This window comes from Homo sapiens, chromosome 6, assembly GCF_000001405.40.
Source record: "Homo sapiens chromosome 6, GRCh38.p14 Primary Assembly".
Classification (NCBI taxonomy): Eukaryota; Metazoa; Chordata; class Mammalia; order Primates; family Hominidae; genus Homo; species Homo sapiens.
This window is the reverse complement of record NC_000006.12, coordinates 157,418,570-157,436,579: the sequence shown is the minus strand read 5'-3', so window position 1 is coordinate 157,436,579 and position 18,010 is coordinate 157,418,570. Positions and strand designations below refer to the sequence as shown.

Below are 18,010 nucleotides of genomic sequence, written 5' to 3'. Positions count from 1 at the left end.
CCAGCAGTTCAAGTCCTCATGACTTCTCACCTGGGCGACTCTCATGCTTATTAACTCACTACTGCATCTCCTTCAGGGTCATTGCCTCTGCTCCAATCCATCCTACTGCTGCCAGATTCACTGACCTAAAAGCCCAGACCCAATCGTATCGCTTCCCTACAGGAAAGTCATGCTCTCCCATTGTCTGGTGAATTCAGGATAACAACAATAGCCAACTGTTACCAAGCACATGCTTCACTGCGTGTGGACTCAGTGGCAAGCATTTGACAGATCTTATGTTATTTAATCTTCCAAACAACCTCGTATCTCCATTTGCACCTTCATTATCTCCATTTGCATCTTCATTATCTCCATTTTACAAATAAGGAAAAAAAGGAGGATCGGAAACATTAAGTTATCCAAGGTTCTGAAACTGACACCTGGCAGGACTCTGGGAACTGGCCTCTCTATGGACTCTCTAGCCTGGCCTCCAAAATCCCCCACAGTGTGACCTCCACCTACTTGCCTTCCCTCATCAGCTACTCAGTGCCCTCTCCTTGCCCAAGTCACCAGTCAAAATAAACTACAACCTGCCCTAATTCTTCACACCCATGCTGCTCTCTCTGCCTGAAATATCCTCCATGCCCCTACCCACCCCAGCCCTCTATCCAAACAGCATACAGCAAGCACTTGCCTGCTATGTGCCAGGCTTTCTGCCACGCTGCCAGGCCCTTGGGATACAGTGAAGAAAGAGATGAGGAGGCCAGGCATGATGGCTCATACCTGTAATCCCAGCACTTTGGGAGGCCAAGGTGGGAGGATCGCTTGAGCCCAAGAGTTCGAGACCAGCCTGGCCAACATGGCAAAACAGTGTCTCTACAAAAAATACAAAAATTAGGCGGGCATGGGGGCACACACTTGTAGACTCAGCTACTTGGGAAACTGAGGCAGGAGGATCACTTGAGCCCAGGAGGCAGAGGTTGCAGTGAGCCATGATTGCACCACTGCACTCCAGCCTGGGCAAAAGAGCCAGACCCTATCTTAAAAAAAAAAGATAGAGAGAGAGAGAAATGAGGGAGGAAAGGAGGGTGCCCACCTTACTGAGCTTATAGGCTAATGCCACAAACTGCCATTAATTAAGAGGCACACATCTGCATACATATGTCCTAGCCTTTCCTCAAGGTTCATCCCAATGTCATCGATATCACAAAGACTTTCTGCAGTCCCTCCTTCCCTCCCTTCTCCTACCCTCCCTCCATGTGTGCAAGCACTTCTGCGGGGCACCCTTGCTCTTGCCCTCTTCTCGGATTTCTATACTTACCTCATCTGCCTGGATTAGACGGCAACCTGCCCCAGGGCAGCAAACAGAGTGTTAAATCCTAGTCCTGCTTCTTCCCAGTGACTTCACAGAGCCCCAGTTTCCCCATCTGTAAAGCTCTTAAGATTGGTATGAGTATTAAGTGGGATAAACATATGCAAAGAACCCCCGAGGAACTGCTATGGCGATTCCTTCCGGAGTGAAAACAATTTTCTATGAGCATAGCCATGGAGATCTGTGTTCAGCGATGGTCTGAATAATCTGCATTATGTCTTTGTGTAAAGGTCAAAACAAATAAGTCTCCCTGGGAGAAACCCAGAAAGTGTGTTCTCTAAAAGCTTTGCTGGCAGTCCAGGAAGGGAAGCCCTGAGCAGATCCCCTCTCTCAAGGCCACAGCCAACCCAGACGGGACTATTACAAAACATGTCACGCCAGGATTCTCTCCGTCATGGAGCGGGTCCAGTTTCATTAAGCAAATAGCTCCACAGACAGTCTAACTGACAGGAGGGCACTGGCGCAGCCTTGTTAAAAGTCCGGCTCCTCCCCGTCGTGCCAAGCTCTCTGGGTGCTCATCTTCAGGTGGCCCAACCACACTGACAAACATTTGATAAACGAATAAAACTGGGGCAAAAGATCCATTTTGAAAGTACTCACAGGATATTAAAAGAAAGCCCTATTGCAGCTCTTACTGTGGCCTAAATGATTCATGGAATTGTGTTTTTATGACCCAAATAAAATGTTTAAGGGCACAGAGGAACTAGTGGGAAGTGATCACCAAGCTGAAATGGCCTCATCAGATAAAGTCCTCAGGGGGACTTAGGGAATGGGACAAAGGAGAACGCAGGGCCACTCCAGTCCAGTTCGGGCTCAGAGGAAACATCCACCTGTCTGGTGTGAACAGGCCCAGCTCCTAAGGGTGTTCTCGGCCGGCTGGCAGGACCCTAACAGGGGAAATCAGGCAAGCCTTAAATTTGCACTGGCCCAGGCTTAGTCTATTCAGAACATCAGAATAGTTCAGTGACCCTGAACTCAACATATAAAAGAATTATATATATATATATATAAAATTATAAGCTAGCTTCTCTCTAAAAAAAGTCATCAGCAATTAATATGTTAGGTCTAATACTAATACCGTTTTTCTTCTCTATTTTCTTTTTGTTGTTGGCGGTTATGTAATCTTGGAACTGGATTTTTAAAAATCTTTTAGCATATATCTCAGGAGGGTCAAAAACCATGTACTGAGCCATTGCCTCTGGCATCACATGGGCTGATAGCTATTTATGATGTGTACACTTAGCTAAGTCACATACTGGTACAATTACCAGGAAAAAAGTATGTGTGTGGAGGGTGGCTCTCTTGTTCCTGGTCACTGCTATTTCCTTTACCCAGAAGTCCAGTGCTCCCTCTGGAAAGATGGGAGCCAGCCAACTGGAAGACATCAAAACAGTCACCATTTTCACAGCACATGCCATGTCACTGTTTGATAAAGTCTCCATTTGAAAAGGACACTCGTCAAGGCCGATAAAGGCCACCAGCTGTGCTTTGGATCATGAGTGGGGGTGTCTGTGTGCATGTGTGAGCACACACACTCGGTCCTGATGCTATTACCAAAACCTGCCCTTCAGAGTACCACAGTCACACAATCTGAGAATTTTTAGAGCTAAAGAGACCCTGGGGTCACCCAGTCAACTCCTCCCGTTGTAACCAGGACAAAACAGTCCCGTGGAGGGTAAGTGGTTTGCCCAGGACTCTGCAGGTAGACAGCTGCTCCTGAACATCACGGCCCAGGCTGAACTCTCAGAGCCCTAAGCCTCTGGTTTTATCTTGGTCACTACTTTTGTAATCTTTTTCTTTCTTTATTTAGTGAATACCTATGAGTTTCCACCTTTAGGCAAACGGAAAGCATTATTCAAGGGGGCTACAATTTTTTTTATTTAAACTACCCTTCTTTCGATATCAGAAAAGATACATAATGATATTTGGTATTTAGCTTGCAATCATGTGTCCACATCATCAGAATCAAAGCAATTAATTATAAGAGCCAACTTAATTCAATTATAAATTCTTATTACCTAAGTAAGTCTCAAGAAATAGAGTGATCGTGCCAGCACTGTGCTCGGTTTCATGCCCAAATGCAAACCTGCCATCTGCTAGGGCACATGACAAGGTTCTCAAAGAAAAGTGACCACACAGGCCATGTAACACGTTCATTAGACACAGGCACACCGCTCTTGGGCGGTGAGATGCTGTAGCCCCATGGCGACGGCAGCAGAGCCGCCCCACGCCGGGGATTTCAGCGCAGAAGGAAACTTGTTTCTTTGCTTCCCACTTGATCAGCAGGGACAGTGCTCCTTTTGGAACAACCATCTGGATCCAAAAACATAAAAATGGGCCCCAAAATTGCACATGCTTAAATGTCAACAGTACCTGGCAACTTCCAGAAGCATGAAAAGCTGTTTTCCTGCCCCATTTTTTGGTGTTACCTTAGTGTCACTATAGGTTGAAACAGGTGGCTCGTGTCAGTGGTTTACGGGGCATGAAAGCCATTTTGCCATTCATAAAATCCTGGGGAAACAGCTCTGATTAGATTTCTAGTACAAAACAGGTCTGCCTCTAAGCAGCCTCAACACCATTCATTCTCTCACGCAGGAAGTCAAATTTTAAATTAAATTACAATGGAAATGATCCAAGAAACCACCTCCTATTGGAAGGCTACCAGGCAACGAAAATAAATTGCTCCGGAAGACAGTGATGGCAGGCAAGCCTCAGTTGACTTATGACCTCTTCCACAGCTTCACACCATTGGCACAACTACTTACCTCTCCAAAGCAGCCCCGGGCAACCACACCTGCTAGTAAGCTCCCTGAAGTAAGGGCTCTGCCCCACTCTCCCCCACAGCCTCCGACTGCACTGCTATTTTATTAACAAAGGAATGAATAATCTGATTATTCATTCAACCCAGTTGTTGAGCACCCACTCTGTCAAGCCCTGGAGATAGAAAGATGAGCAAGATAAGGTTCTTTCCTCTTTTTGCTGGAAATGTTTTCCATTTATTTAAAAACTCAAATATGCACAGCTATGAAGCCTCCAACGGCACCTCACACAAATTTCACCACAAACATAAAGAAACTGGAGGTGAACTCTGCACTCTTCACCTTGGGAGCCCTTTTCCTTCAGTAGATTGTTACTGGCTGAGCATTTCTAAAGGTCCAAGAGTAAAAAATGAAAGCAACATTTCCCTTAAGAGCCAAAGGGATCTGGCATGATGGGTCACGTCTGTAATCCCAGCACTTTGGGAGGCTGAGGCAGGTGGATCGTTTGAGCCCAGAAGTTCAAGACCAGCCTGGGCAACGTGGCAAAACCCTATCTCTACAAAAAATACAAAAATTAGCTAGGTATGGTGGTGCACACTTGTGGTCCCAGCTATTTGCAGGCTGAGGTGGGAGGATCGCCTGAGCACAGAGGGTTGAGGCTGCAGTGAGCCACGATCATGACACCGCACTCTAGCCTGAGTGACACAGTGAGACTCCGTCTCAAAAAAAAAAAAAAATTATATTAAAATTTAAAAAATAAAAAGCCAAAGCAAAAATGCCAGGTAACTTCTTTGGTTTATTGTGGCTTGTTTGGTTCAGATCAAATTTCCTAAGGAGGTGAGTAGTCCTGGATAGCCTCAGCAGTGAAGAGATTTCAATATGACCCACACTAGCAATGACCTAGACCCTTGCCCCATAACCACCATCAAATACACTAAGGTCCTCCATCCTCAGTCTCCAAAACAGAATTCTTGTCCACAGAGCAGCTCCTTCACTCTTTCCCAACACAGTGCGTTCCCTTGCATTGGATATGGGACATGGGCACTATGGTCCCTGCCATGGAGGTGGGTGACCCAAGTACACAGTTAGCCCAACAAAGAAAGATTCTTTTCCAGGGCTAGGAGCCTGGCACTGAACTCCCCACTCTGTATGGTTCCTACAGGGAAGAACTTTAGGGCTTGAATCTGGCCCTGACAATTAGACCAGCTGAGTGATCTATTTGGATGAATTACAAGCCTCCCTGAGCCTTGATCATCTCTAAATAGGGACGGTGATGGCACCCACATCAACTGAGTGTTCTGAAGATTAAATTCAAACAATTGCACAGAGCCTGATGTAAGTGCTGGCTTACAACCACCCACACTCACGTTCCTTTCACCTTGTGTCCCGTATACACTCTGGCAGATGGGAGTCTGTGAGCCAGATGAAGACAGCTGCTATTTACAGACAAGTCCATCAAGCAGATCAGCAACACAACAGCTCTGAGGAAGTCCCAGAATGTATCATAACCTGGCTTTACAAGTAACCCAGTCAAAACAGGTGTCAGGCCCATCTTTCTCCAGAGATGACTATCTTATCTAACTCTGTAGAAATGGATTTATCACATGCACACATGTCCAGCCCTACTGTATGCCACACAAATACAAATGCCTTGGCAGGGCCACCAGTGATTGAAGATCTTCAAAACATATGCAGTAGGCAGAATAGTGGTCCCACAGAGATGTCCATACGCTAATCGCCAGAACCTGTGAATACGTTAAGTGACATGGCAAAGGGGAATTCACGTTGCAGACGGAAGCAAGACTGCTCATCAGCTGACATTATAATAGGGAGATTACCCTCCATTATCCTGGTGAGCTCAATATAATCACATGGGTCCTTAAAAGTTGGAAGAGAGGACCAGAGAGATGGCAGTGTGAGAAGGACCCGCCCTGACATTGTTGGCTTTCAAAACAGAGGAAGGCAGCCACAAGCCAGGGAAAGGCGGGGGCAGCCTCTGGAGGCTGAAAAAGGCAAGAAAACAGGTTCTCTCTGGGGCCTCCAGGAAGAATGCAGCCCTTCTGGTATCTTTGCTTTAGTCAAAAGAGATTCATTTTGGACTTCCTACCTCCAAAACTGTAATACAATAAATGTATGCTTTTTTTTTTTTTTTTTTTTTACACAGTCTTGCTTTGTCACCAGGATGGAGTACAGTGTCACACTGTCGGCTCACTGCAACCTCCACCTCCCAGGTTTGAGCAATTCTCCTGCCTCAGCCTCCCGAGTAGCTGGAACTACAGGTGCACACCACCACGCCCAGCTAATTTGTGTATTTTTTAGTAGAGACGGGGTTTCACCATGTTGGCCAGGATGGTCTCAATCTCTTGACCTCGTGATCTGCCTGCCTCGGCCTCCCAAAGTGATAAATGTGTGCTATTTTAAGCCATTAAATTTGTGGAAATTTGTTACAGCAGCAATAGCAAACACATCGTGTTATCCAATCAAGATCTCTTGAGTAGAGATTCCATTAACCCTGGCACTGCTCAGAGACAGCAATTTTCTTAGCCATTCTCCTTCCCTCCTGAAGATTCTCTATCATCCTGAACTCTGGCTTGCTGGTTTGGAGCTGGTTACCTCCATTGTCTCTTGCCATCATATGGGAGACTTCCTCAACTCCCTTTCCAGATCACTTAGGAGGAGGTTTTGAAAAGGGAGGAGAAGACAGATGGCTGCTGAGATCCTGGAATGATATTGAGAGATGAAATATGATTTCCAGGCCTGCTTTATCCAGCCCTTCAAGTCTGTAAAATCGGATCTCCCTCCTTCCTTCTTTATTTCTTTCCTCCTTGCTCTCCTTCCTTCTTTCCCCTCCTTCCTTCCCCTCCTTCTCTCCCTCCCTCCCTCCCTCCCTTCCTTCCTTCCTACCTTCCTTCTACAAACAGCTAGTGAGCCTCTAATATATGCTACATACAGCTAGAGGCAAAGGCATACAAAAATGAGTCAATCATCCTCAATACCCACCCAAGGAACTCATCAGTTAAAGACTTACCATCCATCTAGGGCAGTGATGTGCAAAGTTTTTGGACCATTAACCACAGCAATAAATTCATTTTTATATCACAGTCTACTAAACTGAAACAAAAGTTTCACAAAACAATACCAATGCTTATCAAAGGAGACGTACTCTATTTTCCATTCTACTCTGTTTCTATTCTATTCTCCATTCTGACCAGCAACCTAGTAAGTTGATTTCATGACCTAGTAATGGATTACACCTCTCAGTGGGAAAAATGCTGACCTAAAAGTCTCGACGCCCATGCCGAGATGATCACTGCACAGATCCATGGAGCCTGTCCCCCAGAAATGTTTTCAAAGAATTAGTGGATCCTAGGCCGTTCCCTTCCCCCACGCCCCCACCATCCATGCAGGGTGAGCTGACTCAGACTTGCAGGTTCCAGTCATTTCAATGATAAAATCACTCATCGCAAACACACTCACAAGCTCATCATCCCTTGAAGGGAAGGAATCAAAGGTGCTGAATGTGGAAAACCGTGACTCACTGTTCCTGTCAACCAGGTACATGGCTATAAATGTCACTCGAGTGAAATCATAGTAGAGGGCTCACAGTAACGAAGAAAGCACCAAGCACTGGCTGGGAGCTGAGACCTCTGACTGCTCAGAACAAACCAAAGAGATTAAACTTTATGTAAGGAGCAACAACCAGAACAGGTAACGACTAACAATGCACTGTAATTGACTCGATCAGACTTCCATTTTATACTGGGAAGGTTGCTAGTGAGCACATAAGCAATCTGGCCTGAGACCCCAGCCACCTGTGCTCGGGGGCTAGGGGCGGGGTGGGGCGGGCGGGGGGACTCGCTAAGCAGGAATGCGCCTCTCTCGGGTGCCCTTCCACAAGGCGTAACAGGCCACTAGTTTCAGAGGGCACCGCTATAAAAAGCAGCTGAAAAAGTCACAGTACCCTTTTATGTAAGATGACCTTGTTTGCCGGAGATTTTTTTTTTAATGGGAATTTTTACTCTCAATTACTTGTCATTCCACCTAATGACATATATTAAAGCTTATCTTTTCACAGGCTAATTTTAGACGAATACCAGTTCCCAGATCACTGGTTTAGAAAAACACTACCCTGCTTGGCAAATCCAGTCCACTTTCCTGAGAGGATTTCTATGGCAGAGGAGCTGGCAAGGTCGGGGCACCGGAGGGTGGGAGTGGGCAGGGTCTCTGTGGTGTGTGTGCAGCCCTTTATCTTCCTACTGTGTTGCTGCCACCCATGCAAACACCAAAATGACTGTGCCAGGGCTTAGGTCGTGTCAGCACACTGCCTTTGCGGCACTCTCCTCCCCTTCTCAACAGTTTTGCTGGCAGAAAATATTGAGGTTGAATAAGGTGCTGAAGATAGCACATATCGACAGCAGAACAGCCCTCCAGGAACCCGATATTCCTCTATTCACGATCCCTATTCCTCCTTCACATGGATAAGTGAACACAGCACATATCAATGACAGAACAGCCCTCCAGGAGCCCAATATTCCTCTAATCACAATAAAAGTTTTATTGTGATTTATTAGATTCATCCTTTATGCTGTTACTGAGAAAAGATGAAGACTAGAGCCCCACCATTCCATTGTCCTTGGGGGCCACAATGTCATGGAAAGGATCTTGATGAAAACCTGTTTCCACACTCCGATGGAAGGTGGTCAATCTCACAGTGTGTTTCTGACTCCCACTACTCCAGGAGGAACAGCCCTAGCGCATCTGCCATTTCTGAAAAGAAAATCCAAGCCACCTCCCATGCCGACATCTCAATACTCACGTTCCTCTGCCTGCGGGCCCCTCTGTTCTCCTCTCATATCTCTGCCAGCCTGGACCCCGTGATTTATCACATCAGTTTCCCTTTTGCCATTGCTGTTGACTTTCCAGCCTCCTGGTCCTGCATTTGCTCTGTTAAACTCCAACCCTGAGTGAACCCAGCCAACCATCCTCACCCCCACGCCAACCCATGCTGGTAGGCCCTGCTGGAGAAAGCAGAGTGGGAAGCAGATTCCCCAAAACATAAATGCCCTCCAGTCCTCGGGGCCCTGCATCCTGCGCATCTCTGTAGACACTTTCCCTTCCTATTTCACTGAGTGACATTTCCAAACGCTGAGACCCCAACCCTCACATCTCTGCCCACTTGCTGTATTATGTTTAAAATCAACCATCACACTGGCTTCTGAACACAGATAAACCAAGGGCATGAGGCGAGCCCTCCCACAGCTGCCCCTCCACCCGCCCTTCCTCCTTCCTCCTGTGCTCCCAGGCCCGATGCCCCTCCAGGTCTACGCCTGAGCCTTGTCCCTCCGCCCTGCACGCCCTCTTCCTTCCCTCTCTTCTCCCTGGGGCCCTTGCTCCCCTGCCACCCCAGCTCGCACCGTGCCTCTCCTCCTTTTCCTCTAGACCGATTCCTCACCTACCTTCTCCTCCAGACACTATCTTAAGTTCTCCTTCCCTTACAGCTGCCTTTTATAGAAAGGCCGTCTGCAATGGATGCGCCCACTTCCTGGTCCCTCAGCCCCAGCTGTCACTTTTCAACCCACTACAATGAAGTCTCCGTTTCCACGGAAAACGCTCTTATGGAGGTGAACGGCCTCCCAATGGCCAAAGGTGAGACGGCTTCCCGGCTTCTCTCCTGAGCTCTGTAGAACCTCACGCTGGCCCCTCTCCCGTGGCCTGACTCCCTCCTAGTGCGGCTTCCAGCTCCCCATCCTTTCTGTTCCCTCCCACACACCTGACCGCTGTTTTCCTCCAGCATCCCCTTCTGATCGGCTCTTCCACCTTCTCCCAGGATTCTCCTCATCCAAACCCACAGCCAGGGCTTCCCCAGTGTCAAGCACCAGGCTACCCTCTCTTCTGGGTGCCAGACCCACACATCCTGCGAGCTGGTGCGCTTCTCCCCCTGAGTGCCCCGTAGGCCCCTCAAACTCAACGAGTCAGCTCCATGAAGTGGGGGCCAAACTGCTCTGTGGGTCACCCTCGATCCTAAGACCCTAATGCGGCATGTGGCATGCCATTGGCATTCCATAAATGACTGTTGAATGTTCCAAACCAAATTCATTGATTTTTCCCTTAAAATTGCCTCTCTTCTTGGAATCCCCATCTCAGTGAATGACACCATCCAATCATCCAAGTCGAGTCCTTAGGTCATCCTAGCTGTCCCTTCCCCACCTCCCCACCCAGCATCCATTCAGTGTCAAGCTGTGCAGCTCTCATCTCCATAACGTTCCTTGTGCCAGATCCCTCCTGCCCAACCCAGAACCACCACCTTGCGGGAGGCTCTCACATCTGAACGTGAGCAGCATGACCGCCTCCTTTAGACCTTCCACCCCTGGTCTGGCAGCCTCAGATTCACTGCCCCAGGATCCTCACACTCTGACCCCATCTGCCTCTCTAGGTAGAATGCAGGGGACTAGATGGGGAGCCAGTCTGGTTGGGGGATCAGGAGACTTCTGTGAGGAAGTGCCTATTGAGATGACCTCTGCAAGATAGTAGGAGGTGGTTAGGCAAAGACCTGTGGGGTGGCAGAGGGCAGAGCAGCAAGCATTACAGAGGAAACAGGTGTCCAAGGGTTCTAAGGTTGGCAGGGGCACAGCACGTTCTAGAAGCTACAAGACAGCCGGTGTGGCTGGAGCCCAGGCAGCAAAATGCAGCATCTGGCCAGATGAGGCTGCAGGGGAAACAGGGACCGGATGGCCCAGGGGCTGGGGATGCAGGCAAGAATTTTAGTTTCTACTTCAGAACACCAGGAAGCAGAAGAGTGACATGATCAAGTCTGCCTTTTGAAAAGATCCCTCTTCAAAAATGCTTAGTTAATGAAGTAATGATGGATAATTTCCTAACATGATAAAATGCAGATATCGCAACCAAAATTCAGCATTTAGAAAGGGAACACTAGTCGCATTTCACTATTGAAAAGCAAGACACAATGTCCGCTATCATTGTTCTTTGAGGAGCTGGCCAACATAATTGGGTGAGAAAGAAATTAGAGATTTAAAAATGAGGAAAAAAGAGGTACAGCTCTCACTATTTGCATATGATATGCCTATACAGCTAAAAACCCCCAAAGAATCCATTAAGAAACTACTCAAACCATAAGAGAATTCAGTAGGGTGGTAGAAGCAAGTTAATATGTAGAAATCAATAACTTGCTTGTATATGAACAATAACCAGTTTCAAGAGATATTAGAAGGAAAGGCCTCCATTTATAATAGAAGCAAGAGGGTGAAATTAACAGTAAATGAAACAAGAGTTGTACAAGATCCTTATGAAGAGAATTTAAATTAACCTGAGGGACGCAGAAAACTTGATGTCCATTCCTGGACAGGAAGATTCAACAATAAGACAATGTCAATGCTTCCTAAATTAATCTATAAACATAATGCAACCCCAATAAAAATAACAATGGGAGTCTTAAACATCAGAACACTCTTGATTTTGGAGTTTATATGAAAAGCTCCCTCTGGCTGCAGTGTGGCTGGCTATGGACTGAAGAGTGAGAGTGGGCGGGCTGGCGGGTGACCTAGGACACCTGGCAGGGATCCTGCTGAAGAAGCTGGGCCCAGCTGACTCTGGGGCCTGGGGTGGGGTTGGGGACGCAGTGAAGGGCACATTTGAGAGATATTTCTATGGAGAAATTCCCAGGCCGTTGTGATTGATTGGATAGGGGAGGTGAGAAAGAGAAGTCAAACCAGGACTCCCGGTTTGTTCATTTAATCATTAATCGAATCTCCTGCAAACTTATCCCCATGTTACTAAAATCACTGCTCGGGGCAGGGTTTCTGGGCCCCCAGACAGATTTCACAAGAACCTCCAGAAAGGCTTTTTAACCAGTTGTTTGTTCATAGCCAAGCGAAGCACCACGTTTGCTCTCTGACTCTGCTAATCAGGTGTTCCGCTTAGAGCTTTGGAGAACAGGACGGCTTCAAGCTCAGAAAGCCTCAGAAAGACACTTGTTCTCTCCCTATCTGTGCTGTCAGTCCCCCTTTTGATTCAAAATCGCACCACCAAAAAATAGGGCAGTGATTGTGTTTGAGTTTGACCTCGTCAGATTCAACGTTTACTTGAGCTGTGGCTTGACATCTCCATACTGCCTTCACTCTTCTTTAATAAACAAATAAGTCCTGAAGGCAAAACAAAATTTCTCACCACCACTGGCATACCATTTTATCACAGCAATATCCCTTTAAGGTTTGCCTTTTTTCCCCTCTGTTCAGAATTCTTTTCAACACATTTTTCAGACAGAACAAAGTGAGTTTAAATATATCACACAGTGGCTGCCTCTCAAACATCTACAGAAATCATTTCAGTGAATGTGTTGTTTGATATGAAAAAGAAGTGTATTTGGTTTGGGTGCGAACAGACTGTTATGCAAAGCACGCATCTGTTAAAACTCAGGTGAAATAAGCCGAAGCTTTGGATGGGACAAGTTGAGGCCCAGCTTACCTCAAGCGCCTGCCAGGCTGGGCTTTGTTTGGGAGCTACACAAGCGCTGATGGATGCCTGAACCAGTGTGCTCTGAAACCTCATATTGCACACGAATCGCCTGGGGGGTCAGAGTCTGCAGGTCTGGGGTGGAACCTGAGATTCTGCTTTTCCAATGAGCTCCTACACGATGCCATCCTCCAAATCCACAGATGGCACCTGGAGTGGTGAGAGTTTAAATCGGCTCAGCAAGTTGGAAGCCACATTTCTCAAGGATTAGCCTGTAGGTTGGGATGCATTCTCCTTGCTTACAAAACAGAGATTTTGCCACCGTCTTATGTCAAACAACTTCAGATCTAACAAGTGGATGTTTTCAAGTCTCTTCAGACTATAATATTTGGAGGTCAGAATACCCAATCTCAGTGTTATACATGCCGAAAATTCATACCTGGAAAATCCCGCAATGCTTAGTAAACCCTCACCAATTTGGATTAAATAAAAGGGGAACTTTATTTATGAAATTTTAAAAATATAATCCTGCTTATTACTTTCATCTGCTTCCCTAGGGATAATGTTATTATACCTCATTTGCACTAAGAAAAAAAAGTCTAGGTCTTCCCAGCACCCTGCCGCACCATATGAATAATCACAAATTCCAAATAAAAGGAAAAGGATTTTCAAGAGTCCTCCTACATTTAAAATTAAAAGGTCCCTAAAACTTACAATATCTGTGTCAGTTCCTTCAGCTGTGACTATCCGGCCAGTGGGGCTTCATTCATCCCATTTTTGAGGTGGGAAAATTAAGGCCTAAAGTCACATGAAAAGTCAGTAGAACTCAAAGTCAATGCCACTTTGGGGACCTTATTAAGCTAAGGAATATCAACAACAATAACTTTTACCCATTCAAGTGCCAGCTGCCTTGAGGGAAGGTTTGTGTCTCCTGACAAGCATATGATCTCAGTCTAGTTTGTTTGGCCTGGAAAACATTTTCCTTATCGACTGAAAAGTAGAATGCATGAGAAAGAGTAAATGAACTGCTTTTTAAAAAGAGGGGAAGTAAAGTTAGTAAAGCACACACATTTCAGCTGCTTTTCCTATAACTACACAGATCTGTGCTCCTTGACCCAAAAGGCCATCGGGACAGATTGTGGGAAGAGCCACTCTGTTTTGCAAAGAAGTATATAAAATACAGAATAAAAAGGTACAAAATTTAAAAATATAAAAAGCACAGAAGGGGTCGATACAAATGCCTTGGGCATGCTATTACTGTACTATCTCTTCCTCCTCCTGGTTATCACAGAGAGGGCTTACCGTGCCCGTCCTGATCATGGAGAGTAGAAACCTTAAAACATGGGGCATCTTTAAAAATCATTAAATGAAAACAGAGTGTAGAGTCTGCCACATAGCAAGTGCCCATGAGAAGCTTTCAGTTACCTCGGGTTCTATGAAAACCAGTAACCTGCCACTGATGGTCTTCCCACTGTCCTATCAGAGCTGATTGCTTCCCGGGGTAACGCTCCACTAGAGGCTGCTGAGTTTAGCTTCATAATAGCGAACGGGTCCCTTCTATTCCTTTAAATCTGGGATGTGTGGGATGGAAGTACAGAATCCAGAAATGGAGATGGAATTTTTTAAAATCTGGAACATTCATTGAACATGTATGGGAAACATCTGGCAGAGAAAAAAAAAATACAATTTGCATTGTTTCTCTGACAGCAACCCTTGCACCAATGTCCACATCTATCTTAACACAGAGAGTTTTCTGACATCCCACCCTCAATCCACCTTTCTGTGTTACTGTTATCCCTTGATTAATAAAGCTAACCTAAGACTATCCAGAGAAGAGCCTCCAGATGCCTGGAAATGCTCTGGATGGGGCTGGGGAAAGCTACAGTCCAGCCGGTTGGAAAGGGCTCTCAACTGAGACCCAGGTACGTGGGTTCGAGTTTCCTCACCTCATCAGTTTCTTACCTGCTAAGTGGAGCTAAATCGCCTGCCCCTCAGAATCGTTATGAGGCTCTTGAAGCCTAGAACGAGTTCAATACATGCTGAGTGAATGAATGCATCTTCAGATGAAATAATTATGTGAAACACACAATCCAGGCCGGGCGCGGTGGCTCACACCTGTAATCCCAGCACTTTGGGAGGCCAAGGCGGGTGGATCACCTGAGCTCAGGAGTTCCAGACCAGCCTGACCAACATGGTGAAACCCCGTCTCTACTAAAAACACAAAAATTAGCCGGGCGTCATGGTGGGTGGCTATAATCCCAGCTACTTAGGAGGCTGAGGCAGGAGAATTGCTTGAACGCAGGAGGCGGAGGTTGCTGTGAGCCGGGATTGTGCCACTGCATTCCAGCCTGGGCGACAGAGCAAGACTCTGTCTCAAAAAAGAAAAAAGAAACACACAATCCAAATGTTAGTTGTTACTATTCTTTTAGTGCTTTTCCATTAAGGCTCTCAAAGCACAGTACACTGAGCAGTTTGCTTTTATCTTTTTTTTTTTTTTTTTTTTTTTTTGAGACGGAGTCTGGCTCTGTAGCCCAGGATGGAGTGCAGTGGCACGATCTCAGCTCACTGCAAGCTCCGCCTCCCGGGTTCATGCCATTGTCCTGCCTCAGCCCCTCCGAATAGCTGGGACTACAGGCGACCGCCACCACACCCAGCAAATTTTTTTTTTAATATTTTTAGTAGAGACGTGGTTTCACCGTGGTCTCGATCTCCTGACCTCGTGATCCACCTGCCTCGGCCTCCCAAAGTGCTGGGATTACAAGCGTGAGCCACCGCGCCCAGGCAGTTTGCTTCTATCTTGACTTATGGAAAACTTTTAGACTCCAAGCTCTTGGTATAAAGTCTACTTGATATCAATTCTGGGCTCTGCGGTCATAATAACACCCATCTTTATTTACAGTGCCCTTTTTTAGTAACACTGAGGATTTGCTACAAAAAAAAATAAACTGAAGTGCCTTACTAAAAAAGGTATTACGTTAGTTCAGATGTGTTCTGCTGCAAAGCATCAGAAAACCTAACTGAAGCTAGCTTAACTCAGATGAGGTGGGGTCATCTGAGACCTCAGGCCCTCCCCTGAGCTGAAGATCAGGACGGCTGCTCCTGAGGCCTACCGCACAGGGCTCTGTTGCCAAGGAAGAGGAGCGCAATGTTTAGTGGATAGGCAACCAACAAGGCCACTGCAGACACCTAACAGCACATCTCTCCATTCAAGCAGTGGCTCCCATCCGTCCTTGATGTTGTCTCTCTTTCTGAGTCATTCGCTCCTACTAGGCTGAAATGTGACCAAGTTCTGACCTATGCTCGTAGAGAGCAACCTACTTCTATAGAGTGAAGGAAGGGAAGTCATTACTGAAATGTGCTCAAAGCTGACCGAGGCCACTCAGTCGCACTGGTAATGGCCCACCACTTCAATGACTACACCTCCTCTCCTTCATCAGTGCCTCAATTCAGCCCACCACTTCAATGACTACACCTCCTCTCCTTCATTAGTGCCTCGATTCAGCCCACCCCTTCAGTGACTATACCTCCTCTCCTTCATTAGTGCCTCGATTCAGCCCACCCCTTCAATGACTATACCTTCTCTCCTTCATCAGTGCCTTGATTCAGCCCACCCCTTCAATGCCTATACCTTCTCTCCTCTCATCAGTGCCTTGACTCAGCCCACCCCTTCAATGACTATACCTTCTCTCCTCTCATCAGTGCCTTGATTCAGCCCACCCCTTCAATGACTATACCTTCTCTCCTCTCATCAGTGCCTCGATTCAGCCCACCCCTTCAATGACTATACCTTCTCTCCTCTCATCAGTGCCTTGATTCAGCCCACCCCTTCAATGACTATACCTTCTCTCTCATCAGTGCCTCGATTCTGCTTTCCCACTGTGAGGGTTTTCATTCCATGCTAGAGACCTTAAAATAACCTGGGGAGATGGCAAATAAGCACATGAAAAGATGCTCCATGTCTCACGTCATTAGGAAATTGCAAATTAAAACAACAGTAAGATACTACTACACATTTACTAGCATGGCTAAAATCCACAACACTGACAACACCAAATGCTGACAAGGATGTGGAGCAGCAGGAACTCTCATTCACTGCCTATGGAAATGAAAAATGGTGTAGCCACTTTAGAACACAATGTAGTGGTTTCCTACACAGCTAAACACAGTCTTACCATATATCCAGCAATCACGTCCCCTGAAAACTTATGTCCACACACAAACCTACCCAGGAATGTTTATGGAAACTTCATTCATAATTGCCAAAAATTGTAAGCAACCAAGATGTCCTTCGTTAGGTATAGAAAAACAAATGGTGGTATATCCATACAATGGAATATTACTCAGCAATACAAAGAAATGAGCTATCAAGCCACAAAAAGATACAAAGGAACCTTGGATGCACATGGTTAAGTGAAAGAAGCCAAATGAAAAGGCAACATCTTGCATGATCCCAACTCTACGACAGTCGGGAAAAGACAAAACTATAGAAACAGTAAAAAGACTAGTGGTTGCCAGACTTCGGGCAGAGGATGGGGAGGGTGTATGGGGAATTTACAAGGCTATTTTGTATGATACTGTACCATACAGGGAATTTAGAAGGCTTTTTTGTTTGATACAGTATCATACAAAATAGCCTTTCTGATATGAAAAAACTATTTTGTATGAAACTGTAATGATGGGCACATGACATTAGGCATGACATAAATCCATAGAATATACAACACAAAGAGTAAACCCTAAACTGTAGACTTTAGTTAATAATCATGAATCAATATAGGTTGATCGATTGTAACAAATGTACCACACTATCATCACAGCCAAAGACTGGAGGGACAACCTCAGGAGGAAGACAGCAGGAAATGAAAACTCATTTCCGCCGACATGGGGATCCCACAGTCCCTAGAGGAGAAAAATGGTTGAATTCCCCAGTCCTATTCCAAGCCTGCTGCTCCACAAATGGCCCTAAACCTGCAAGTGCATTTGAATTGTATCACAAGGACTACACTATATATGACCTCCTAGCATCTTATAGTGCAATCGTCCAGTACAATTCTTCAGCAGTCCAATATAATAACTGAATTGCTAAAAGTTCCCTGAGTGCTTTCTACCCAGCTTAGTAACTCTGTCTTTAAATAGCCTTATCTTGGACATATGTGTGGGGCTCTGACTAACAAGGAAACATACACCTGGTGGATGATTTGGAGATGGGTCTATTTGAAGAAGTTTGGCGCTACATTCACTCACTAAAATGTTTCTGGAATACTGAACTGGGTATTTGCTGAGAGATGGGGAATGGGTTGAGGAGGGTAGAACATAGCTATCTGTATTTCATTGTGTAGGAAAATGGCACACTCGAAGTCTTGAAGCAATTTAATCATTTAAAGGCCTCTCTGTGTTCCCAAAATATGAACAAGCCATGTTTCCAGGCCTA

The 18,010-nt window shown here is 46.0% G+C and overlaps 1 protein-coding gene across 3 annotated transcripts in view, besides 1 other annotated feature; it reads right to left on the bottom strand.

The window, feature by feature from the left end:
• Positions 1 to 18,010, bottom strand: part of ZDHHC14 (zDHHC palmitoyltransferase 14) — a 296,968-nt gene that overhangs the window by 241,578 nt on the left and 37,380 nt on the right. The gene's annotated exons all lie outside the window — the stretch shown is intronic.
• Positions 12,137 to 12,337: a silencer, noted in NCBI's record as "peak6255 fragment used in MPRA reporter construct". NCBI's record gives its function as "represses an SCP1 promoter by STARR-seq MPRAs in K562 erythroleukemia cells {active_cell/tissue: K562}" and the evidence as "EXISTENCE:reporter gene assay evidence [ECO:0000049][PMID:32103011]".